A 26,867-nucleotide genomic window follows, 5' to 3' on the forward strand; every position below is an offset into this window, starting at 1 on the left:
GATAAAGATACCTATCTCACCGGCTTGTGATAATTATAAAATGAGAAAGTGCAAATAAATCCACTGTCTTTTCATCACACATATGCCAATCCAGCATTTGTGATTTTTAAAAATTCTTACTGTATAGTTTACCTTTCAGCCAAACCATGCCTTCTTCAAGCTGATATTATACTAAGAACTTTTATCTTTATTGAGGTGCTTATCAGAATATCTTGCCATTCTTGCATTAACTGTTAGATATCCCAACTGCATGGGAAACAAGGACAAGCACAGTATCTTTTTCATCTCTCTTTTTCACAGGACCTGACACATAGAAGGTGCTCAGCTGAATGTTTGCCGAAGGGTCATGTGAAGTGTCTCTGTTCTGGAGAATCTTGATTCCCAAGAGCCCCAGATAATTCCTGGCCCCTACTCTCCTATCCCATATTAGGCAGCTACTCTGTGTCAGAAACTAAGCCAGGGGCTCTGCACAAAAGGCTGTAGTTCATAGCTCTGCAACCCTGGGGGGCAGCTATTATATAAACTTCTTACAACAATTAACACAAATCCCTCAAGTGTAAACATCTGATGTCTCTTTACCTTCAACCCACTAGGGACACAAATTGAGAACCCAGCAACCCTCATCTGGCATGGAAAACTTAAGACCTGGATTTCTTCCACCTGCACCTGCTGCGTTTGTAGCCATCCCCTCCCCTCTTCCAGCACCTTTGTTGTTTGTATCTTACCAGGATTAACCATACTAGTCTGGACTCTGAACTCAGAAACATGTAGATTAAACATTTCCTAGCTTAAAAAAATAGAGTGCAGAAAGTTAAATAGTTAGCTCTCACATGTTGATTATTTACTATGTGAAGGCAGTATGTAGGGTTTGTCTAACATTGCCTCCAATTTTCCCAAATATCCGGTAAGGTGAATATTCTTGTCTGTCTTTTACACGGGAAGAAGCCAAGATTCAAGAGGGCCTCATAACTTGCTGCATGGATCTGTGATTCCTGACCTGGGTACACCCCAACACTGCTTCTTCCTGGCACCAGGCACCCAAGGAATCAGTTCCACTAGCCCCCACGCCTCAGCAACCAGCACTAGGCATGGAGGGGTGCTTCCTCCCACCAAGGCTGAGTGCTCAGTCACACCCTATGAGAGCAAGCCAATGAAATGGAAAAATAGCTCTTACTCCTGACTCTGACATCTGCCCTGCAGGTGAGAGCCAAATTCTCAAATTGCCAGGCCAATGGCAAATAAGCCCACACTATGCACAGAGGGTATCAACACAAAGAGGGTTCTGTGGGAATTCACACATCCTGGAAGCCAGGCTGACCCTGGTAGACAGTTTCATTTTATCTTGTCTCAGCCACATGATGAGTGGAGAGAGAGAAGGAAAGTGCACAGATCTCCAGAAATGGGGTTTGGGTTCACTCTTGAGAATACCCCTGGGCAGTACTCTGACCCTTGGGCCCCTCTCTGTAAACACACAAGAACAGCTAAAATGTCTGGAAAGGGGAAGGGCTGGTTCCACTGATGCCCCTGCATTCATTGAGTTTCCTGCTTCCCAAGTAGCTGAGAGGCAGCTGGATATAAAAGGAACAGGCTTTGGAGTCAGACCCAGATCAAATCCCCATTCTGCTACTTGGTACCTGTAGGACAATGAGCAAGGCTTTGACCTTCTGTGAGCCATGGTTTATCTGTAAACTAAAGGAAATGGTAGATTATCATGAAAATTATAGATAAGAATATGAAACAGCACATAGTAGCTGCTTGGCAAATGTTAGTTGCCTTCCCTCCCTTTTCCCCCACTGCATTCATTTGTAATGCCTTTTTTTAAAAAAAAATGACAGTAAGAGCAATTATAATTGGCACAGGTTGCTTTATGAGCTAAATATGTTACAGATCAATAATACACAATCTCTGGCCTGGCGCGGTGGCTCATGCCTGTAATCCCAGCACTTTAGGAGACCAAGGTGGGCAGATCACAAGGTCAGGAGTTCGAGACCAGCCTAGCCAATATGGCGAAACCCCATCTCTACTGAAAATACAAAAAATTAGCCGGGCTTGGTGGTGAGCAACTGCAGTCCCAGCTACTCGAGAGACTGAGGCAGAAGAATCCTTTGAACCCAGGAGGCAGAAGTTGCAGTGAGCCGAGATCGCGCCATTGCACTCCAGCCTGGGTGACAGAGTGAGACTCCATCTCAAAAAAATAATAATAAAAAATAAATAAAAACCACAATCTCTATTTAAGCCACTCTCACAGGACTGACTGTACCCTATATCATGTCATATATTTGACAGACAGTTGCTTTTCTTCCTTTTATTCTTCTAAAGAAGTCCAGATGAGCCCCAGATACAGGTTCATACCCTAGATAGCCTATTCCAAGGGTTAAAATCAGGCCTGCTTCACATCGAAGGCATTTTGTTATGATCTGTTCATAACAAAAGCTGCCTCCTGGCTGTTGCCTGCAGCTGAATACTGTTACTCTGAAGCCATCATTTCATTTGTTTCTGATTGTTCTGCAGTGTTTACATACCTTACATATTAGCGTGATCTTTTATAGAGTACAGGCAGAGGTTAAGCCCTCCCGGATCCACTTTCCCTCTGAGGGCTCTTTCTTCTTTTTTACTGTCCCTTGCCTCTGTGTTACAAACCATTTCTCTTTTATAGAAATTCATTTAAATAGAAAAACAATTTTTAAGTGTTTTCTTTTTTTTTTAACATGAGGCTCACTTAACATTTTTAGAAAATGTTGAATATGGAGAAGAGGGAAAAGATACCACCAAAATGTGTGATTTTTTTTTTCTTTTTTCCTGACATAGGAAAATCCCATTACCTCTCTTGAATTTACCAAGGGACATATTCCATTTAGGGCATAGAAGGACCTGGGCTGCCTCCAGACCTAATGTGGAAGAAGGTGCTGTCTGCCTGCTATTTCCTTGCTTCTCCTTATTTCAATCTTTTTTTTTTCTCCAAAAAAAAAAAAAAGTGACTTAGGAAGGATATGGACTTGTGAGTCAGATTTGGGTCTAAGTCTTGGTTCTGCCCTATGTGTAATCCCAGGAAGGAACTTGAGTTGATTTTCTGAAGCTCAGTTTCCTTTTCCATTAAAACTGGGAGTGACTCAGGCTTGCCTAGTATCTTAGCTGGAAGAATGTGTGTGAAACTGGCCCACCTTTCACAGATAGGTCACCCTGCTGATTGCAGTGGCTTCCAGGCACCCAGGCCTGGGAAAGATTCACAGGCCTAGTCCAGACCTGGCAGGAAAGAGGCTGTGAGCAGTTCTGCCTGCCGCAGATGTGCTGGCACATGTACCGCCGTGTGCTGCCCCAGGTAACATATCAGGCAGCTAGGGAATGTAGGCTTTCAGACCCTCTCTCTTCAGTTCTCTTCTGCTGACTTCCTCCCATCCAGCCATCATACTTTCTTAATCCTCTCATCAATCCCCTTTGTTATAGAGAAGATGGAAGGGTTAAATTCCTTCACCCTCATCACTTCCACTGATATTTGATAAACACCTCTCAGTTCATAATACTTTTGCACTCAAGCAGGGGAGCTACCCAGGTGTCTATGGAAAGTTTTGAATTCTTTTTGCCTATTCAGTTTAGTCTTCTCATTTTCTATCTGGCCAGAAATGGAGAAAGTGTTTTGAAGGTCAGGATTCTTCAGGTCTAGACTTGTAGGGATGTATCCTGAATTCCTCTGAGCTAAGCCTGAGAAGCACAAGTGGGTTCTATTGGGAAACACTTCCAAAAGGCAATGATTGATGCTTATGCACAGAAATTCTGACTTTTAGTAAAAGATGCTTGGATATAAATCAAGCAGGACTCTCCTTGCCTTTATACAATATGCGGTAAACAGGGTAAATCCTCAATTTTACTTATGCCCACTGACAGATCTTACAAGTAGAAATTAACCCATCTGAGTGATCGTGTTGATTCTTTCTCCCTCTTCTCTAGAGCCATTATAACCTCTGTACCCTACTTCAGAATTCTAATCAAGATAGTGTCAAGTCTTTTAAAAAAAAGTTAAACCCCCACATGAGCTCCAATCCATAAATAAGAAACTCACCCTGGCTTGTATGGAGGTGATGATATTAACACAGGCTACATTTCTCTGGGTCACTGAATGTACCCGGCACTGTACCAAGGCCAGTAATAGACTGTGCCACATTTAATCTTTACAGATCTGTAAGAGAGGTCTTATTTGTCCCATTTTTCAGATGAACACCCCAAAGACCAAGGTCACACAGCAGAGACTCTCGGCTGGAGACTGCCCTCAGGCATCCTTTTAACGGAACTCTAAAGTCTGCAGGAGGGAGCCATTTTTCCTACCAGCCAGTTTAGAATCAAAAAAGAGCATTGGTTTTGCCGTATTAGAGAACTAATTCATAATTAGTACTATGCTCACTCCTGGAGGATTTGACAGAAATAGAAGATATGGTTCTGACTCAGGATCCACCTCACTACGTGATGTCAGAGCAACAGAGCTAAGACTGCAACTGATGAGTATTGTGCAGATGGAGCACGCTACCTCCTCGTTAGCTCTCTCCCCTGCACCCACTCTGCCCCACCCACTCCTCCTCCCTTGCGTGATCCATAGAATAGACCAATATGTGTTTACCCACCACAGATTGTTTGGATTGTGAAAAATGCATGATATAATTTTATATCTTTGAAGGCACACAGCTCTCAGAGCTTTCAAAGCTGAAAACCAGTCTGGGCTCACTGGAGCCAGTTAGGCATTTGTATATAGAAGGCCAAGTGTGGCTTCTTGTCTATAGGAGAGAGAAAATGTGGAGGAACTTTTGGAAGGCTTCAGAGTTTTTTTGGCTATTCTCTCTCTCTTGCAAAGCAATCTGGGTGCATTAACTATAAATGAATGAGAAACATATGGATTAAATTTTATCTGTGATCACATATGAGTTTCAAGAATGATAAAGAATAAGGAATTCAGTGTTTAAGGAGTCCAGAATACTTTGCAAGTAATTCAGGATATTGCAGGCAACATTTGGCTGCCTCCCTCTATCCAAATTTGAGGACTGTTTGGTAGGGTGACAGACCTGCTCAGTGCCCTCCCCACCCACTCAGATTGCTAAACCTCAGGAGATACCTGTGGATAGGTTTTGTGTGTATCTTGTTTTGCTGAGACTGAAATAAAGAGATTGGGTTTCTAGGAAAGGCAAACTCTATGAGAACACTCTTAACCACTTTGAAACCCCCAAATAGAAGAGGAAAATTTGGTAAGCCCGATCTTTATTAACCATGTCTTGCTTACAGATAATATTAGATGTGTTTTATATCCTATTATTGCCCTTAATGTTAGTGTCATTGTCCTGTTAATGATAATGGTAGCCATGTCCTGCACTTGTGTAGTGATCTAATTTACAAACAGGTACACATTACCTGTTAATACACATTACAGATGTATTTGTAGAGATGTACACTTACAACATATGCAGAGTATGTTATGACAAGCTACAATACAGGAATTACAGAGTTAAGTGAAGATGCAGGCAGGAGTACCTAACCCAGCATTGTGGTAGAAGTCAGGGTTTATGGAAGGCTTTTCAGAGGAGATAACATTGAGTTCAGTCCTACACATGTTCGTTTGTTTGTTTGTTTGTTTGTTTTTGAGACGGAGTCTCACCCTGTCGCCCAGGATAGAGTGCAGTGGCACGATCTTGGCTTACTGTAACCTCCACCTCCTGGGTTCAAGTGATTCTCCTGCTTCAGCCTCCCAAGTAGTTGGTACTACAGGCACGTGCCACCACACCTAGCTAATTTTTGTATTTTTAGTAGAGCCAGGGTTTCACCATGTCAGCCAGGCTGGTCTCAGAACTCCTGACCTCCCAGTGATCTGCTGGCCTTAGCCTCCCAAAGTGCTGGGTTATGCATGTTCTTAAAAGAATATGAATAAGTAAGTGGCTGGGTGCAGTGGCTCATGCCTGTAATCCCAGCACTTTGGGAGGCCGAGACGGGCGGATCACTTGAGGTCAGGAGTTCAAGACCACCTGGCCAACACTGGTGAAACCCATCTCTACTAAAAATATAAACATTAGCTGGGCGTGGTGGCATGTGCCTGTAATCCCAGCTACTTGGGAGGCTGAGGCAGGAGAATCACTTGAACCCAGGAGGCAGAGGTTGCAGTGAGCCGAGATTTTGCCACTTCACTTCAGCTGGGGGACAGAGCAAGACTCAAAAAAAAAAAAAAAAAAAAAGGAATATGTATAAGTTAGCTAGGGGAAAGCGAGAGGGAGTGCCCTCTAATCAGTGAGACAAGAATTTATGAACACTAAGAGTTGAGAAAGAAAATGGCACAAGGGGAATTTCAGGTTCACTTAAGTCTGAGGCCTAGCTTATGATGGGCTTGGTGCAATAAAAATGATGGGGGCAGAGGATTGGGAAATGATAACATAGGGGATTTCAGGAGACAAAAAGGTAAAAGCTACATCAGACAGTCCCATATGTCGTGGCAAGCTGCTCAAGGACTTTAGTAAGGAGAATGATAGAATTAAATTTGTGTATTAGAAAGATCATTGTGGTGGAGGTATGAAAGATTCTCTGAGTGACGCTTAAGAGAGTACAGGATGGAGGACACTATTTGGGTCAGGGAAACGAGTTTAATCCAGTTTCATCACCCTTGTAATAATCCAAGCAAGAAATGATGAAGGGCTGGACTAACGTAGTGGCAATAGTTGGAAACAGGAAGACTTGTGTTTGAAAAATATTTGACAGAGCACCGTGACCTACTGTGGGGCAGATGAGAGCGATGAATGATCAGGAAGTCAAGAATGGTATCCTGAGACAGAGATACTTCTGACATGTCAAAAATATAACGTGCCATCCTTCATCCCAGAGCTACAGAACAAGACATGTCGATTAGCCATCCAGGTCAAAGGTTCCATGTGGAGCTCAGGAGCAAGGCCTGAGTGTGGGATAAAAATTGTCATTGCACACATAGGACTGGATGAGCTGACCCTAAGAGATGTAGGCAGTGAGATGAACATAGGAGAGAATCCAGGAGGGAAGAGAAAGAAGAGCCTACCAAAGAGACGAAGCTAATAATGAGTAGAGGCTGGACCTGCACCCAGCTCTTTGGACACCAAACTTTTCCACCGTCCCAGAAAGTTGCAGAATTAAGCCATCTGTGGCTTAACATGCCTTGAGAGCATACTGTGTCCTAGGATCTTTATACACATTACCCCATCTAGGACTTAGACACAGCTCTGTGGTTAATGAGATGATCCCCATCGACAGATAAGGAAACTGAGTCTCAGGTCAGCAAATGACCTAACCAGAAATATCCAAGTTTGTCAGACTCCTAAGTCTGTGCTCATGTTACTAAACCATGTTTCTGCCTTTAAGATAAGATATGGCTCCTCACTATTTCCTGGGAGAGGCAGACATTAACAGCTATTTACAATTCAATCTGAGAAATGTAGAAATAAAGGTGAATGCTGAGAGCCCCCATTCATAAACAAAATTCTCTATGCTTTTTTTTTTTTTTTTTTGTACCATGTGGTGATCTAGGAGTTGGCTGGATTGTGTATAAATGGTTTTTCTCTAGTAAGACGATAGCACCGTCCATTTGGAGGGTGAGATGAGCCACCATGGAAATACCCGGTCCCACACATGCCTGTGGCTACCCTCTAAAATTCCCAACCTGGCCGGAGGCACTCAAAACAAAACCTCCTGTTCCCTCCCAGGACGACTGGCGCCTGGAGCCTGCCTTTTGCCCCTGCCAGAGGCTTAGGCCAGCCTCGGAGTGATGGCGTTGCAGGGAGGCAGAACAAACGGAGCTGGAGCAGCTCCCCACTCTGAGCCCAGTCATCTCTCCCAGAAGAGGTGTGAGCAGGCTTCTGGGCTTTGTCACCACAGGGAAACTCGGCTGACGGGCACATTGCCTTAGATGAAACTAAGCCAATGGCATGCACTCATGGAGCCAGCTTGAGCATAGACAAAAAGAGAGGCAGGAGCACATGGAAAGAGGCTTCTAATCCCAGCTCCATCATTTCTGATCTTTATGATCCTGGGCAATTTGCTTACCCTCTTCATGCCTGTGTCTTCAGCTATAATATGGGCTGACTGTGTTTGACTCTATAGACTGTCAGGGTAACTCTAAGTCTGAATGCAAATGTACACCTACAAGTCACTTGATATCTGAGTTATGCCCCAGCCCATACTGAATTCCAAGTCCCCCTAGATTATAAACTTCGGGAGGACGGAGACTACATCACTTATTGGCTCTGATGTCTGTCTTTCTATATCTTTTCATGTTTAAAACAGTAGTTTGAAATCAGTGTGTATCCAATAATATTTACTGAATACTTAATCAGCTAATGTAAGATGTTTTAGATAGTAGCCATTAAATACAACTCATGAAGTTGACAGAAAAACCCACAATAATCTTGGCCACAGGTTATGGAGCAAAGCAAGTACTAGGGGTACTACCAACAGAGCAAAGTAAGTACTTCAAGAAGCCCCAGGAGTTAGCCCAAGACAATCCCATGAAGCCCAGGCCATGTGAGGGCAGAGTCTGTGTTGAAATAGCTAGCTGAAGAGTTCTGATTGACCAGCTGGGCTAGAACAACTCAGCTTCATGAAATCTTAGAAAACCTCAAAGACAAAAGAGATATTAAATATTTCTAGTCCAATCAATTGATTTTATAGCTAAGGAGAGTTAGTTATAGAGAGAGAAATAAGTTGGTGGTTCATAATTTGGATCCTGAAAGCCCTCCTCTTCTATTTACTAGCTATTTGACCTCCTGCAGCTTCTATTTCCTCATCTGTGAAGTAAATATAATAATAGGACCTCTCTCATTGGGTTGTCATGAGTGTTAAATGTGATAATATATGTGAAGAACCTAGAAGAGTCTGTAGCATATGATAAATGCAAATAACTCTTAGCAATGACTATTTTATTATTTCTATATGATTTATTATTATAATTGTTAACTGATTTAAAGGCTCATTTCAGTGGGTTTTTTCCCCAACCATAATTGTTTTAAAATTGGATTTTTGAGAATCAGTAGGATCTGTTGATGCAAAACTATACCCATCCTTCAAACCATGCGATCTTTTATTTAAAGTAAAATGCAGAACTTTATATGGGGCCCCCTGAAATCAAAATGTGTTTACAGCTTCATGACTCTGAGCCTTGTCTACATGACTGTTTCTGCCCGGGCTGCCCTTCCTCTCTGCCCAAGCAAGTATGTCCTCCTCGTTCAAAGCCTTGCTTCAAGGTGGCCATCTCTGTGAAATGCTCACTCTTTTCCCAGGCAGTGAGTTATTCCTTCCTTTGGGCTCGTACTGCACTCCTCTCTTACCTTTTTGTAGCACTTGCCATGTTTTGTTGTTATTTTTTTATTTCTACCTGGCTGCCCTGTCAGATTAGGAACTCCCTGAGGTAAGCGACCATGCCACTTCATTAGTAGTAGTAGTAATAGTAATAGTAATATTTTGCCTTATTGTTATAGCTTTATTGAGCTCAGTGTCTGACATACAGTATGCAACCAAAGTTTTTATTACTGTTTTTGAAGTTTTTATAATGATATTTATATCAGACACAAAGAGTACACCAGATGTCTAAGTACAGTTTAAACAAAATACCAAAATGAACACCAGTATTCCCACCACCAAACCTGTGAAAGAGAATATTGCCAATACCTTTTAAGTGTAAGTTTTTAACTGTGTGAGTAAATAAATGTTACTTGTTTTCTTAATTTTGCTTAGTGTTTTAGCTCTTTGAGGTAATTTTGAATCTTGATTTGAACATGTCCCATAATAAGCTATTTTTCCAAGTGTTAGCATCTGAAAATATAAGCTTTTCTTCTGTATCATCTTCTACTCCATTATTAAGCATATTGATTAAACCAAGACCAAGGACAAATCTAGAGACCCCTTTACATGGTTGTGATTACTATTGCCTGTGGTTGTTCAGCCAGTCACCTGACTATTCCATCATACAAGCCTCATTTCAAGGAGAGCTAACGTTTATTTGGTGTTTAACATATAATAAACCATTGATATGTGACAGCTTACTTAATCTTTACAAAAGTCCCCCAGCATTCATGCATTCCTCCCATTTTGGAGTTGAGGAAACTGAGGCTCAGAAAGGCTACCTTACGTAAGATCGCCTAGCTGAGAATTGGGCAGAGTCAGGACTAGAATCACGATGGGCCTTTGTCCCGACCCATAGTTTCTCTTCTGTTGTTCACTGGTATATCAGGGAACACTTAATGGAAACTTTTTAGAAATGAAGATTCCCTAACCTACTTGTCATCAAGGCCAGAAGGTTATGTTCAGTTTGAGTAAGTCTGTGTTGGCTCTAATGGCCCTTGCTTTCTGCTCTTCAAAACAGATGAAAGACTCAAAGAAGTAATGGTAGCCTAAAATTAAGACTATAATTTGGCAGAGACAAATATAGAACCTGATGCCTGACTGCTTTCAGTTTTTGTAACACTGGGCATGTTATTTAACTCTCTGCCTCAGTCTACATATCTGTACAATAGGAATAATAACAGAATTTTTAAGTGATTTAATACCTGTAATATGCTTAGAATCAGGCCTTTACTAAGTACACAGTAAGTCTCAACTATTGTTGTTGTTGCCAACAGTGCCGTTATTACTGGGAAGTCAGTGTCCTGCATGGACACCTGTCATCAATGTAGTATGATGAGCTCCCCTTCTTTAGGGTCATGGAGCAGTCTCCAGGCCAAGACAGCCATCAGCATGGAAGGGGCTTTCACAAAAAGATTTTTAAATATTTAGGTTTGTTGCAAAAGATTAAACAACACATAAGTACACAAGTGTACATTCTTTCTCTCTCTCTCAAAACAAACTAGGAATTCCTAGATTCTTCTAAGAACACAGGGTTTGAGAGTGACTAGAAGTACTCTTTGTTTCCTTGCTTTACACAGGATGTCTGAGGAGAAGCATGTGCTATTCCAGATGAGTGGGCACAAACAGAGGTCAACTCAAAACTTTCTCCCTGGACAGAGCCAAGCAAAACCATTCTCTGACATTTCTGAGCAGCAAAGCAGCAAAGCCACAATCTTCTAATGAAGTCTTGCTGCAGCTGATGCAGTAACATCCCCAAATTGTGGGACAGGGGATGGGGAGAAGGGAGGTGAAGTGTATCCTTCCTAAGCAATTTATGCATACAAGTAAAGAGCATTATCATAGAGTTTGAGGTCAACATCTGCCTCAGTTGAAATCCCATCGTGGTCATCCATGTACTAACCATAGACAACTTACACAACCTCTTGGGGACTAATCTGTCAAATGGGGCCAAGAGTTCTGGAGGCAAGGGGCTGCAAGACACAGAAAGAGATGACTTGGCTTTGGCTCTACCTGTGCAAACCCTGGGTCCTAAGTGGTAATGAATATGGACTGCCTCATTCATCTCAAAGAAGCTCTGGGACTTAGGAAAGCAATTTCTAGAATTGGCACGTGATAAAATTTTCACTGGGCAAAGAAAGGCAGAGTGGTGAAAATAAGTACCAGTTAGTATGCTCTCCTTGTGGCTGGAACATTCACCATAGCTCACTCGTGCATTCTTTCTCTCTCATACACACAACACTCACACTCACCCACCTGAATAATTTCCATGCATGTTTTAAATCTTAATTCATGTACCATTTCCTTGGAGAAGCATTCCCTGTCACCTAGACTGAATTAGGTACCTCCCTTGTGTGCTCTCTTACTACCTTTTGGCTTTCCCTCATTTACTTCTCACAGTTGGTAATTACATATTTGTGTAATGATCTGATTAATATTTTTCTTAAGGTAGCCAGTTGCCCCAGTTTGGCTGAAACTGAGGGGTTTTCCAGAAGGCAAGACTTTCAGCGCTGAAACTGGGAAAGTCCTGGCCAAACCTGCGTAATTGTTCACTCTGGTCTGCTTCCCTCTCAAGATCGGATGCTCTTTGAGTACAGGCACTATGCTCTTGTTCACCATTTATCTCTGTGCCTGGCACAGACCTGGACTGGGAACTCAGGAAACATCTGTTAACCAGTAAAGAAGTAAATGTATATGTTAATCTAAGCTGAACTTACTTTTCTTATGAAAGCCTATCTTTTTTCTCCCTGAAATTATTCTATTTTGATGTTAAAATATCCCTTTTGAAAAACTGTCCTTATTTGACAAAATTTAAAGTTCACAATGTTATGCTGTTTTTGTTTTTTGCCTTCCTTCCCCCCCTTCCCATTTTGTGGTTGGAAATCCTACTGATTTGAGGAATCACTTGTTTAGTAAAGAGAGAACCGGGGTAGCTGAGGTCAAGACAAATAAGGTCTGTCCCCATGCTAAAATGCTAGTAATCACTTCTGTATCCTCTGGGCCTAGCACATTACCAAGCACATAGTAAGGGCTGAGTAAATATTTGTGAAATATATAAATGAATAGATTTTCTGCCCAGCCTCAAGACCTGCTGGAATACAACTTGTATGCCTAACTCCCTTTTCTTCCCTACCCTCTAGCTAAACATTTCTGTGACCATAAATGTGACTTCAGCATTCCTTACTGCTGAATAGATGAGAAACATGTACCACTGCAGATGAATGAACACATGGTCTATCCCCACCCGTTCTAGTTCATCTCTTTAAATGCTTTCCTTACTGTTGAAGGGACTGCTATGGTCTGTTAAAAAATAATAATAATAATAAAATAAAAAATTTTAAAAAAATGGCACTATCTTGATTACTGAGAGCACCTCTCTTACCCACATGGCTTTGTTCAAGCTCCTCCCTCTACTTGGAACACCTGTTTCACTTTAGCAAAATCCTACTAGTCTTTTCAAACTTAGCTTATGTCCCTTTCTCTAAGAAGCCACCTCTGTACCCTTCCACTTGTCAAAAGTAAAATGAGAACAAGTTAGGGAAAAATTTGAAAGTTTTCTATCTTACAAAAAGTACCAATTGCCATCAGCAAGACTTCAAGTGGTAAGAAGCTCACCTTACGGCAGTTACAGTGCAGTTTATGAAGCATTAAGGAGAAAGTATTTTGACCTTTTTAGTCATTGGCTGTTATGTATTAACATTTTTTTTTCAGGGGAAACAGGACTGTTTAAACTGATTTGTCTATAGTTGATTGATTTAATTTTCCTGAATCATGCTGACAAGGACCTAAAGCTTATGTTTTAATTTCATCAAATCATGCTGACAGGGAGATAAAGCTTATGTTTTATGCTTTGTTTATAATGAGAGCTAGCAACTCAGGGAAATCAGAATGACTTAAGTTTTACCACTTGACTCTGGGCAGTTGGCCTTGGGGTATATATCTAAATGGCGGCCTCTATCTTTGTATAATCTTTAGTACATTCCTCACCTCCTGTGCCCATCCACAATATTTTGTATTTTGTCTTTACCATCTCATGAACCACACTATATTCTATTTGTCTATTTTTTTGTATAGCTCCTCCACTAGATGGGAGCTTCTTGAAAGTAAGAACTCTGATTCATCTTTGTGTCCCCAGCACCCAATAGGGGGACAGGATTGCTATTAGGTAGCAGTACATATTTGTAAAAGGAAAGAAATCTATCAGTTATTATAGTCCCCCAAATGCTAAGTTACAGACAAATAGAAAACCTTAGTGACAAACAACAGTAGACATTTATTTTTGCTCACAAGTTTGTTGGTTGGCTAGGTGAGTCTGATGATCTGGGCTAGTCAATGCTGGTCACCTACAAATATTTGCTGATGTTACCTGGGTTCTTTCATATATGTGGGACATCACCTGAGACAACTGAACAGACTCAGCTCTGTTGCACATCTCCTGTCACCCAGCAGCCTTGTAGGGCATGGTCTTGTGGCCAAGTTTGAGGAGCGAAAGACAGAACAGAAGCACACAGCCCTTTTGAGACCTAGGCTTGGAAAACTGACCCAGTGTCACATCTGCCTCATTCTCTTGGCAAAACAAGTCACAAGACTGGCATAGATTGAAGGGGTAGGGAGATAGACCCACATCTCAATGTGAGGAGCTGCAAAGTCTCATTGCAAAGAGTGTTGACACAGGAAGGGTGGAGAATGGGGACCACCTTTGCAATCTCTGCCATAGTGAGGGAGCCAACAGGGAAACACCTTATCAGTTTCTTTCCAAAATGACCATTTTTATTACCTTAACATTTAAATGAATTTATCAGGAAAGTTTCTAAAAAAAGGAGCCATGGCCTTTCTTGGGAGAGAGTGACTTCCCCACCATAAAAGGCATTCAATAAGAAGCTGAATTCCATGGTCATAGAAATATTAGGAGGAGAACCCTTCCCCTACCCCTGAGAGTCAATGTTTTCACATATTTTCCATCTTTCTTTCCAGATCAGCAAAGACCCGATTTTTGTACCAGGCGTCTGGGGGCCTTATTTCTCAGCCATGGTACCTGGGTTCTGGCTGAATGAAGGTGGTCAGAGCGTTACTGGAAAATTGGTAAGTTGACACTTTCTCAATAGGGTCATGGATGTTTTTATGTCATTGATTAGTCCATTTTGTCACATGACCCATATACCCAATATCTGGAGGATTTGCAGACCCCTGAATCGGGGTGTACTTTCTCTTAGTGCACAGCCTAACATGTCATACACATGCAGCATATATTGCTTAAGGAAGAAGTGTTACAGCAGGCAGTGATGACCAGCCCTTCTTCTCACCTGATCTTTCCTTACATCAATCCATTTTTCTCAGAGTGATGAGAATGATATTCTACTTAGAGAAAACGACATGTTACTCCCCAGCCCAAATCCTTCAGTTTTCCCCATAGCCCCTTGAGACATGGCTCAGATAATATTCTGGCTGCATTATACACTTCATGGTCTATCCCCTCCAGTCCCACACATGTGCCTGTAATTTACACTAGGTTGCTCTCCTCACAGCTTCTCCATGCCTCCTGTCATTGCACTTCTCTGTCCCTTTATACAGGCTTCTTTCCCTGCTTGGGGAGTTCTTTACCACCTCAATAATTTTACTTGTCCTTTAAGATCCAACTCCAGCTCTTAGCACACTCTGTTATTCTTATTGGTTACTAATCCCCTTTTCTAGAACACTCTGAGTTCCTTAAAGACAAGGGCCATGCGGTACACAGTGGCTCATGCCTATAATACCAGCACTTTGTGAGGCTGGGGCGGGCAGACCACCTGAGGTCTGAAGCTCAAGGACAGCCTGACCAACATGGTGAAACCTCATCTCTACTAAAAATACAAAAATTAGCTGGGCTCGATGGCAGGCGCCTGTAATCTCAGCTACTCAGATACTCTCCTAAGACAGGAGAATCACTTGAATCTGGGAGGCACAGATTACAGTGAACTGAGAATGCAACACTGCACTTCAGCCTGGGCGACAAGAGCGAAACTCCGTCTTAAAAAAAAACCCCACAAAATAAAGACAAGTTCTCTTTGTATCCACCTCAGTGCCAGGTTCATAGAAGGTACTTAATACAAACTTGTTGAATTATTAAGGCTGTCCAATAGGGGAGAGAGAAGATTCATAAAAGTGAGATGAGTGCTGTAACAGAAGTACACGGTACAGAGTTGGCACAAAGCTAGGTTAGGAAACTCTTTACAGGGGAGAAGGCATTGGTGCTGAGCCTTAAAAGATAAATAAGGACAAACCAGGTAAAGAAGGGTACAGATAGTCTACTTGGTAGGAAACTTGTATGGGAAAAAAGACATGGAAGTGAAAAATAACGGCTAATTTGAGGGTAATGGCAAATAGTCCAGAAGTTCAGCTGTGGCACAAACTATTCTTAGAAAAATGGCTTACGATAAAAGTTAGAGAGTAGGGCAGAGACCACATCCCTGTAAAACATGCTAAGGAATTGAACTTCGTCTAGCAGACCAAGAGGAACCAGTGAAAGGTTAGAAGAGTATGTGGACATGTTCATAACTCAGTTGTAAAAATCTCTGCTTAGAAGCCATGAGGGTAAAGGCCTGAGGACACATGGCCAGAGGCAGGGAGACTAGTTTTAGTAGGTTAGTCAACAGACAAAAAGCCACAAGGACTTGAATGAGGACAGTAATAATGATGACTGGGAATTGAGGTCAAGAGATTGGCAGGCTTCTGAGAGATCAAATGTGGAATACAGAGAAAGTGAGACCTAGGCTCAGTTACACACACTCACATTTACTGTTAAATTGGAAATATCTGCTTATGTTATGATGTGATTTGCCTACCAACTCTTCTAAATGTTCAGCCAATTGGAAATGATCTTATTCAAAGCTGGATGTATATGCAAATATCTGTGAGTTTACATTTCTTAGTATAATCCTATTTTATACATGACTGCCTCAAATTCTCTTTCAAAGTAAATGGAAGCATAGGTGGGTAGATGGATTCAAAGGGCATGTTCTGTACGTTACTGTTGTGCCAGGCTACAGAAATGAATTAAATGAATTGGACCTCATCAGTCCCTGGTTTTAAGGAGCTCATACTTGGATGGGGAATCCCTGAGTATGAAATAAATCATGTTTGATTGGTCTCAGTAACCAGTGCTAGAAAAGTTGAGAAGGAAGACATCATCTATGGCTACAGTACAGTAGAAATGCAGCCCACTTTATATTCTCCTATTTAAACTTGTGCTATGTACTTAGTCAACTTATTTTATTTTACTTTCAGTTCCGGGATACAAGTGCAGAACCTGCAGGTTTGTTACATAGGAATATGTGTGCCATGGTGGTTTCCTGCACCTGTCAACCCATCATCTATGTTTTAAGCCTTCCATGCATTAGCAATGTGTCCTAATGCTCTCCCTCCCCTTGCCCCTAACTCCCCAACTGGCCCCAGTATGTGTTGTCCCCCTCTCTGTGTTCATGTGTTCTCATTCTTCAACTCCTGCTTATGAGTGAGAACATGCAGTGTTTGGTTTTCTGTTCCTGTGTTAGTTTGCTGAGGATGATGGCTTCCAGCTTCATCCATGTCCCTGCAAAGAGATCTCATGCCTTTTTATGAAGGCATAGTATTCCATGGTGTATATGTGCCACAATTTCTTAATCCAGTCTATCACTGATGGGCATTTGGGTCGGTTCCATGTCTTTGCTATTGTAAATAGAGCTACAGAGTTCCAAGATGGCCGAATAGGAACAGCTCCAGTCTACAGCTCCCAGCATGAGCGATGCAGACGACCAGTGATTTCTGCATTTCCAGCTGAGATACTGGGTTCATCTCACTGGGGCTTGTCAGACAGTGGGTGCAGGACAGTGGGTGCAGCCCACAGACCGTGAGCCGAAGCAGGGCGAGGCATCGCCTCACCCGGGAAGCACAAGGGGTCCAGGAATTCCCTTTCCTAGCCAAGGAAAGCCATGACAGATGGCACCTGGAAAATTGGGTCACTCCCACACGGCTACTGCGCTTTTACAATGGTCTTAGCAAACGGCACACCAGGAGATTATATCCTGCGCCTGGCTCAGAGGGTCCCACGCCCACAGAGCCTTGCTCACTGCCAGCACAGCAGTCTCAGATCCAACTGCAAGGCAGCAGTGAGGCTGGGGTAGGGGTGCCCACCATTGCTGAGGCTTGAGTAGGTAAACAAAGTGGCCTGGAAGCTCTAACTGGGTGGAGCCCACCTCAGCTCAAGGAGACCTGCCTGCCTCTGTAGACTCCACCTCTGAGGGCGGGGCATAGCTGAACAAAAGGCAGCAGAAACTTCTGTACACTTAAACGTCCCTGTCTGACAGCTTTGAAGAGAGAAGTGGTTCTCCCAGCACAGGGATTGAGATCTGAGAATGGACAGACTGCCTCCTCAAGTGGGACCCTGACCCCCTCAGTAGCCTAACTGGGAGACACCTCCCAGTAGGGGCCGACTGACACCTCATACAACCAGGTACCCCTCTGAAACAAAGCTTACAGAGGAAGGATCAGGCAGCAACATTTCTGCAATATTTGCTGTTCTGCAGCCTCCACTGGTGATACTCAGGGTCTAGAGTGAAACGCCAGCAATCTCCAACAGACCTGCAGCTGAGGGTCCTGACTGTTAGAAGGAAAACTAACAAACAGAAAGGACATCCACACCAAAACCCAATCTGTACGTCACCATCATCAAAGACCAAAGGTAGATAAAACCACAAAGATGGGGAAAAAACAGAGCAGAAAAACTGAAAATTCTAAAAATCAGAGTGCCTCTCCTCCTCCAAAGGAACGCAGCTCCTCACCAGCAACGGAACAAAGCTGGACGGAGTATGACTTTGACGAGTTGAGAGAAGAAGGCTTCAGACGATCAAACTGCTCCGAGCTAAAGGAGGAAGTTCGAACCCATGGCAAAGAAGTTAAAAACCTTGAAAAAAGATTAGATGAATGTCTAACTAGAATAACCACTGCAGATAAGTCCTTAAAGGACCTGATGGAGCTGAAAACCATGGCACGAGAACTATGTGACAAATGCACAAGCCTCAGTAGCCGATTTGATCAACTGGAAGAAAAGGTATCAGTGATGGAAGATCAAATGAATGAAATGAAGCTACAAGAGAAGTTTAGAGAAAAAAGAATAAAAAGAGACGAACAAAGCCTCCAAGAAATATGGGACTATGTGAAAAGACCAAATCTACGTCTGATTAGTGTACCTGAAAGTGACGGGGAGAATGGAACCAACTGGGAAAACACTCTGCAGGATATTATCCAGAACTTCCCCAACCTAGCTAGGCAGACCAACATTCAGATTCAGGAAATACAGAGAATGCCACAAAGATACTCCTCGAGAAGAGCAACTCCAAGACACATAATTGTCAGATTCACCAAAGTTGAAATGAAGGAAAAAATGTTAAGGGCAGCCAGAGAGAAAGGTTGGGTTACCCACAAAAGGAAGCCCATCAGACTAACAGCTGATCTCTCGGCAGAAACTCTACAAGCCAGAAGAGAGTGGGGGCCAATATTCAACATTCTTAAAGAAAAGAATTTTCAACCCAGAATTTCATATCCAGCCAAACTAAGCTTCATAAGTGAAGGAGAAATGAAATACTTTACAGACAAGCAAATACTGAGAGATTTTGTCACCACCAGGCCTGCCCTAAAAGAGCTCCTGACGGAAGCACTAAACATGGAAAGGAACAACTGGTACCAGCCACTGCAAAAACATGCCAAATTGTAAAGACCATCAAGGCTGGGAAGAAACTGCATCAACTAACAGGCAAAATAACCAGCTAACGTCATAATGACAGGATCAAATTCACACATAGCAATATTAACCTTATATGTAAATGGGCTAAATGCTCCAATTGAAAGACACAGACTGGCAAATTGGATAAAGTGTCAAGACCCATCCATGTGCTGTATTCAGGAAACCCATCTCACGTGCGGAGACACACATAGTCTCAAAATAAAGGGATGGAGGAAGATCTACCAAGCAAATGGAAAACAAAAAAAGGCAGGGGTTGCAATCCTAGTCTCTGATAAAACAGACTTTAAACCAACAAAGATCAAAAGAGACAAAGAAGGCCATTACATAATGGTAAAGGGATCAATTCAACAAGAAGAGCTAACCATCCTAAATATATATGTACCCAATACAGGAGCACCCAGATTCATAAAGCAAGTCCTTAGAGAACTACAAAGAGACTTAGACTCCCACACAATAATAATGGGAGACTTAAACCACCCCACTGACAACATTAGACAGATCAACGAGACAGAACGTTAACAAGGATATCCAGGAATAGAACTCAGCTCTGCACCAAGTGGACCTAATAGACATCTACAGAACTCTCCACCCCAAATCAACAGAATATACATTCTTCTCAGCAACACACCACACCTATTCCAAAATTGACCACATAGTTGGAAGTAAAGACGTCCTCAGCAAATGTAAAGGACAGAAATTATAACAAACTGTCTCTCAGACCACAGTGCAATCAAAGTAGAATTCAGGTTTCAGAAACTCACTCAAAACCACTCAACTACATGGAAACTGAACAACCTGCTCCTGAATGACTACTGGGTACATAACAAAATGGAGGCAGAAATAAGGATGTTCTTTGAAACCAATGAGAACAAAGACACAACATACCAGAATCTCTGGGACACCTTCAAAGTAGTGTGTAGAGGGAAATTTATAGCACTAAATGCCCACAAGAGAAAGCAGGAAAGGTGTAAAATTGACACCCTAACATCACAATTAAAAGAACTAGAGAAGCAAAAGCAAACACATTCAAAAGCTAGCAGAAGGCAAGAAATAACTAAAATCAGAGCAGAACTGAAGGAAATAGAGACACAAAAAACCCTTCAAAAAATCGATGCATCCAGAAGCTGGTTTTTTGAAAAGATCAACAAAATTGATAGAACGCTAGCAAGACTAATGAAGAAGAAAAGAGAGAAGAATCAAATAGACACAATAAAAAATGATAAAGGGGATATCACCACCGATCCCATAGAAATACAAACTACCATCAGAGAATACTATAAACACCTCTATGCAAATAAACTAGAAAATCTAGAAGAAATGGATAAATTCCTGGACACATATACCCTCCCAAGACTAAACCAGGAAGAAGTTGAATCTCTGAATAGACCAATAACAGGCTCTGAAATTGAGGCAATAATTAATATCTTACCAACCAAAAAAAGTACAGGACCAGACGGATTCACAGCCGAATTCTACCAGAGGTACAAGGAGGAACTGGTACCACTCCTTCTGAAACTATTCCAATCAATAGGAAAAGAGGGAATCCTCCCTAACTCATTTTATGAGGCCAGCATCATCCTGATACCAAAGCCTGGCAGAGACACAACTAAAAAAGAGAATTTTAGACCAATATCCCTGATGAACATCGATGCAAAAATCCTCAATAAAATATTGGCAAACTGAATCCAGCAGCACATCAAAAAGCTTATCCACCATGATCAAGTGGGCTTCATCCCTGGGATGCAAGACTGGTTCAACATATGCAAATCAATAAACGTAATCCTGCATATAAACAGAACCAACGACAAAAACCACATGATTATCTCAATAGATGCAGAAAAGGCCTTTGACAAAATTCAACAACCCCTCATGCTAAAAACTCTCAATAAATTAGGTATTTATGGGACATGTCTCAAAATAGTAAGAGCTATCTATGACAAACCCACAGCCAATATCATACTGAATGGGCAAAAACTGGAAGCATTCCCTTTGAAAACTGTCACAAGACAGGGATGCCCTCTCTCACCACTGCTATTCAACATAGTGTTGGAAGTTCTGGTCAGGGCAATCAGGCAGGAGAAGGAAATAAAGGGTATTCAATTAGGAAAAGAGGAAGTCAAATTTTTCCTGTTTGTAGATGACATGATTGTATATCTAGAAAACCCCATCATCTCAGCCCAAAATCTCCTTAAGCTGATAAGCAACTTCAGCAAACTCCCCGGATACAAAATCAATGTGCAAAAATCACAAGCATTCTTATACACCAATAACAGACAAAGAGAGAGCCAAATCATGAGTGAACTCCCATTCACAATTGCTTCAAAGAGAATAAAATACCTAGGAATCCAACTTACAAGGGATGTGAATGACCTCTTCAAGGAGAACTACAAACCACTGCTCAATGAAATAAAAGAGGACACAAACAAATGGAAGAACATTCCATGCTCATGGGTAGGAAGAATCAATATCATGAAAATGGCCACACTGCCCAAGGTAATTTATAGATTCAATGCCATCCCCATCAAGCTACTGATGACTTTCTTCACAGAATTGGAAAAAACTACTTTAAAGTTCATATGGAATCAAAAAAGAGCCCATATTGCCAAGTCAATCCTAAGCCAAAAGAACAAAGCTGGAGACATCACGCTACCTGACTTCAAACTATACTACAAGGCTACAGCAACCAAAACAGCATGGTACTGGTATCATAACAGAGATATAGACCAATGAAACAGAACAGAGCCCTCAGAAATAATGCCACATATCTACAACTATCTGATTTTTGACAAATCTGACAAAAGCAATGGGGAAAGGATTCCCTATTTAATAAATGGTGCTGGGAAAACTGGCTAGCCATATGGAGAAAGCTGAAACTGGATCCCTTCCTTACACCCTATACAAAAATTAATTCAAGATGGATTAAAGACTTAAATGTTAGACCTACAACCATAAAAACCCTAGAAGAAAACCCAGGCAATACCATTCAGGACATAGGCATGGGCAAGGACTTCATGACTAAAACATCAAAAGCAACGGCAACAAAAGCCAAAATTGACAAATGAGATCTCATTAAACTAAAGAGCTTCTGCCCAGCAAAAGAAACTACCATCAGAGTGAACAGGCAGCCTACAGAATGGGAGAAAATTTTTGCAATCTACTCATCTGACAAAGGGCTAATATCCAGAATCTACAATGAACTCAAACAAATTCACAAGAATAAAAGAAACAACCCCATCAGCAAGTGGGCGAAAGATATGAACAGACACTTCTCAAATGAAGACATTTATGTAGCCAAAAGACACATGAAAAAATGCTCATCATCACTGGCCATCAGAGAAATGCAAATCAAAACCACAGTGAGATACCATCTCACACCACTTAGAATGGCAATCATTAAAAAGTCAGGAAACAACAGGTGCTGGAGAAATAGGAACACTTTTACACTGTTGGTGGGACTGTAAACTAGTTCAACCATTGTGGAAGTCAGTGTGGTGATTCCTCAGGGATCTAGAACTAGAAATACCATTTGACCCAGCCATCCCATTACTGGGTATATACCCAAAGGATTATAAATCATGCTGCTATTAGACACATGCACACGTATGTTTATTGTGGCACTATTCACAATAGCAAAGTCTTGGAACCAAGCCAAACATCCAACAATGATAGACTGGATTAAGAAAATGTGGCACATATACACCATGGAATACTATGCAGCCATAAAAATGAGTTCATGTCCTTTGTAGGGACATGGATGAAGCTGGAAACCATCATTCTCAGCAAACTATCACAAGGACAAAAAACCAGACACTGCATGTTCTCACTCATAGGTGGGAATTGAACAGTGAGAACACATGGACACAGGAATGGGAACATCATACACCAGGGCCTGCTGTGGGGTGAGGGGAGTGGAGAGGGATAGCATTAGGAGATATACCTAATATTAAATGACGAGTTAATGGGTGCCGCACACCAATATGGCACATGTATACATATGTAACAAACCTGCAGGTTGTGCACATGTACCCTAAAACTTAAAGTATAATAAAAAAATAAATAAAATATTATAATGATGGTAATATTAATTGTAATAATTGTAGCTTACTGAGTATTTTTTTGTGAGAGGGATTTATAGACATAATTCTGTTAAACTTTGAATGATAGTCATAATTACAATGCCTAATATTATTTTGAAGGCTTGTTTCCAATCTCAGTTCCAAGAACTTTTCATGTATTATCTAATTAATATTCTCAAAAGTCCTATGATCATACCTATAGATACAGTCATTATCTGTATTTTATAGTTAAGTGACTAAAGGTAGCAATTACAGCCTGGAGAGTCTCCTCACCCACCAGTGATGGCCTTTTAATATGTTTTATTTACTACTCACCTTTCCTTACCATTTACTAATTCTTGTTTATTCTCTTGTAAATTCCAATCTCTGGTTTTAAAATACATCATTGTCACATAGGACATGATAAGAAAAAGTTGCATCTTTTTTATTCCCGCTTGCATATGCACATCTTCTCTAATAAGCCACATCTGAAGGTGTCTGCTCCAGTAGTACATTGTCCATGGTTTCAACGATGCCACACAGTCATAAATACACCACCTAAAGCATAAGAGACGGGAAGTGAGAAAACAGAGAAAAAGGAAAGTAAAGGAGAAGAAACAATAGAAAAAAAGAGAAGGAAAAGAAATGAAAAATATATTAAAAACCATGGATTTTAAAAAAAGATATTTGTCTCATTTTTACAATTAAATGCAGATCTTCCATTACAAAGCAATTATTTCATTCTAAGTATGTGAATAGATTTGTATTTTTAAAAAAAATCTTCATCTGGTTATCCTCAGAATGAAGGAAAAGAAACAGGACAGGATCTTTTGATATTTACTTCTTCTTAGAAAACACATACTCCCTTCCTAAGGATGATTGATTTTAGTTTCATCACACATCAAGGCCTGTCTCATGCTTGCCGATATTCTCTTCTGAATAGTTGTGCAAAAAAGCATTGCTTTTTCCCCAGACTTTGTCCACAGAACACTGACCCCGTGCAGTTCCTACATCCAGATACTGAAGCTTATTTCCAGCTGGACCTTGGCCATCACCCTTTCCAGGTGCTCTTGTTTGTCTCACGTGGAGTGATTTTTATTGGGGATGGCATTGGGTAAGGAAGGCTAAGACAAGTTCCTAAGCCACTGCTATGGTGGCATTGACTTTCTGGAACAATTGTGCTTGGATTGAGTCACAAGGTCACAATGCAACAAGTTACTATGTGCTCTTGGGATTTTAGGATGTGTACATTGTGAGTGTCTATCTGCCTCCTGCGTCATTGCCAAGGCTGGGACTAGCCTCAGGATGTCACCTATGGAAGACATTCTGCTATAAATGGGTGTATGGAATGACTTGCAGTGTGCACAGTGTAGTACAGATTATGGAGATAATGATTTCATGCCTTCATTCATTCACTCCTTCCATCGCGTTACAGAGATTTCCTGAGTGATTCCACTGGGCCAGCCAAGAATACGGTCACTCCAGTCATCCACCATCAAATAAGAAAGTTGGATACAGAACTGATCATTATAATTTATTGTAGGACATAAAAATAGATAGTACAATCACTATAGCCTACTGGAAAAATAGAGGCTAATACTGAGTACCTATTATGTACCAAATATTTTTAGGCCCATTAGGATTTGGTATTTCATCTGATCTTCACAGCATGTGTATGTGGTCAGTGTTGTTATATTAGTTTTACTGATGAAGAAATAGGCTGAGAATGTCAAGGTAATCTGATCAAAATCTTACAGTTATAAGTAGGAGAGCCACAATGCAAACCCAAGCTGGCCACCAGAGGCCCAAGATCTTTCCAAAACTGAATCTGACTTTTGTGGAGGTGCATTTCTGAGTTTTTCTTTCAGTTCTCTTGTAGACTTCTTTGAGAAGCAACTGTTGTCCGTTAACATGACATTCTCTTTAAGTGTCTTGAAACAAATACAGTTGGCAGGCTTTGTAAGGCCATGGGAGAAAAATAATTAAATACAATAAATTAAATACAATATCTGAAATACATATATAGTAGATGGGCCTAAGAGCTGACTGGAGATGACAAAAGTGTCCTCAGTGAGAATGAGACTTAGACTGGGAGACTTAGAGAGAAAGAGAGAGAGAGAGAATATGAATGAGAATATACACTGAAAAAATTAACACCCTCAGTCTCTCAGGGGCATGGGAGACAATAGCCAAAGGTCAATTAGCATTGACACGATCTATGTACAGATGTAGGTGTGTCCCCAGCATTTCACATCCACTAATTATAATTACTTCATGGATACAAGGACTAACTCTGCAAAAACAAATGCCTCCCTGTTCCCTTCTCCCGCCCTGGCTTTTGCTTATTTTTTGTATACCCACCTGGATTGCTACACAACTTCCTAATTGGCTTCTTGCCTGTAATCTTTCCCCCTCTAATCCCTTTGTTGCATTGTAGGTATAGAAGTCTTTCTGAAACAGTTATGAGTCTGTCACTTGTGATAGCTCTTCAGTTGTCATTAGAATAAAGTCTTAATTCTTTAGAGTGATGTTTATTTATACAGCCAGTATTTACGGAGTGCTTACTATATTTGAGGTACTGTTCTGAGTGAGAAAGTAGCAGTGAGTAAAACAGCCTCTTCTGCACTCTCCTGCACTCCACCAAGACTCCTGTACCCTTCTCAAGCTTACATTCTAACAGGAGGAGACAGATAATACACAAAAAATAAATAAATTCCACTTTATGGTATAAGTTATTAAGACAAATAGAGGAGGTAGCTTGTGAGTTCAGATGGGAAGGTTGTAGTTTTAAATAGGGTGGTCAGGGTAGACCTCACTGATGTGACAGTTGAACAAAGAATGAGGAAAGGAAGGAATTTAGCTATTTTGAAACCTGGGGGAAGAATATACCAGGTCAAGGGAACAACCAGTGTAAAGATTCTGAGAGGGTTGCTTGCCTGGGGTATTATGGGAATAGCAACAAGGTCACAATGGATGCGGCAGAGTGAACCAAAATGACAGTTGCAGGGAACAAGTTCAGAGAGGTGATAGGGTCTACATTATTGGCCACAGTAATAGTTTTTACTCTCAGTGAAATGGAAACCATTGGAGAATAATGAGCGGAGGAGTGATGTGATATGACAGGTTTTCAAAGAATCATTCTTACTGCTGCCTACTGTGTTGCTGATTGTTAACTGGGGAGTGGAAGTAGGGGGAGGGAAGCACAGAAGTCAGAAAGAGGCTATTGTAGTAAGCCAGCTGAGTGAGGAGGATGATGGCATGGAGCTGGTAAAGAATGGTTAGATTTTGGATATATTTTGAAGGTAGAGCCACCTTCAAACCTTGACCTTGACCTTCACACCCTGATGGATTAAGTGTGAAGTGTGCAGAAAAGAGAGAGGCCAAGGCTTGAGGAATGTAGCATTGCTATTAATGGGTGAAGGTGGATTCAATGTTATGGAGTCAGAGGGAGGAAGGAGTCAAGAATTACTACGTTTTCTGATGGTAGTAACTGATCCCCAAAGTTGACCCTCCATTATCTTCCTTCATCTTAGTAAAGAGTACCATCATTTATATTTTTATTAAAGCCAAAAAATAAAATAAAAAATTAGGATTAATTCTTGACTCTTCCTTTCCCCTCTCTCCTCACATCTAATCCATCAGTAAGTCCTAAGGGTTCCACCTCCAAAATATGTTGCCAATCCATCTCTCTTTTTTCTTCTCTTTTCTTTTCTTTTCTTTCTTCCACT

The 26,867-nt window shown here is 41.3% G+C and overlaps 1 protein-coding gene across 59 annotated transcripts in view; it reads left to right on the forward strand.

Annotated features, from left to right (window-relative positions):
- FGGY (FGGY carbohydrate kinase domain containing) overlaps window positions 1-26,867 on the forward strand; it is a 466,353-nt gene that overhangs the window by 297,124 nt on the left and 142,362 nt on the right. For all 59 annotated transcript variants that reach the window (XR_007061929.1, NR_103473.2, XR_007061930.1 and 56 more), the window contains one exon: window positions 14,302-14,409. Coding sequence is in view for 56 of the 59 variants with exons in the window: in XM_011541731.2 (XP_011540033.1) it covers window positions 14,302-14,409 (108 nt within the window). In the remaining 3 variants the exon portion in view is untranslated. The remainder of the gene's footprint in view (window positions 1-14,301; window positions 14,410-26,867) is intronic.

The sequence above is a fragment of the Homo sapiens genome, chromosome 1 (genome assembly GCF_000001405.40).
Source record: "Homo sapiens chromosome 1, GRCh38.p14 Primary Assembly".
Taxonomy (NCBI): domain Eukaryota; kingdom Metazoa; phylum Chordata; class Mammalia; order Primates; family Hominidae; genus Homo; species Homo sapiens.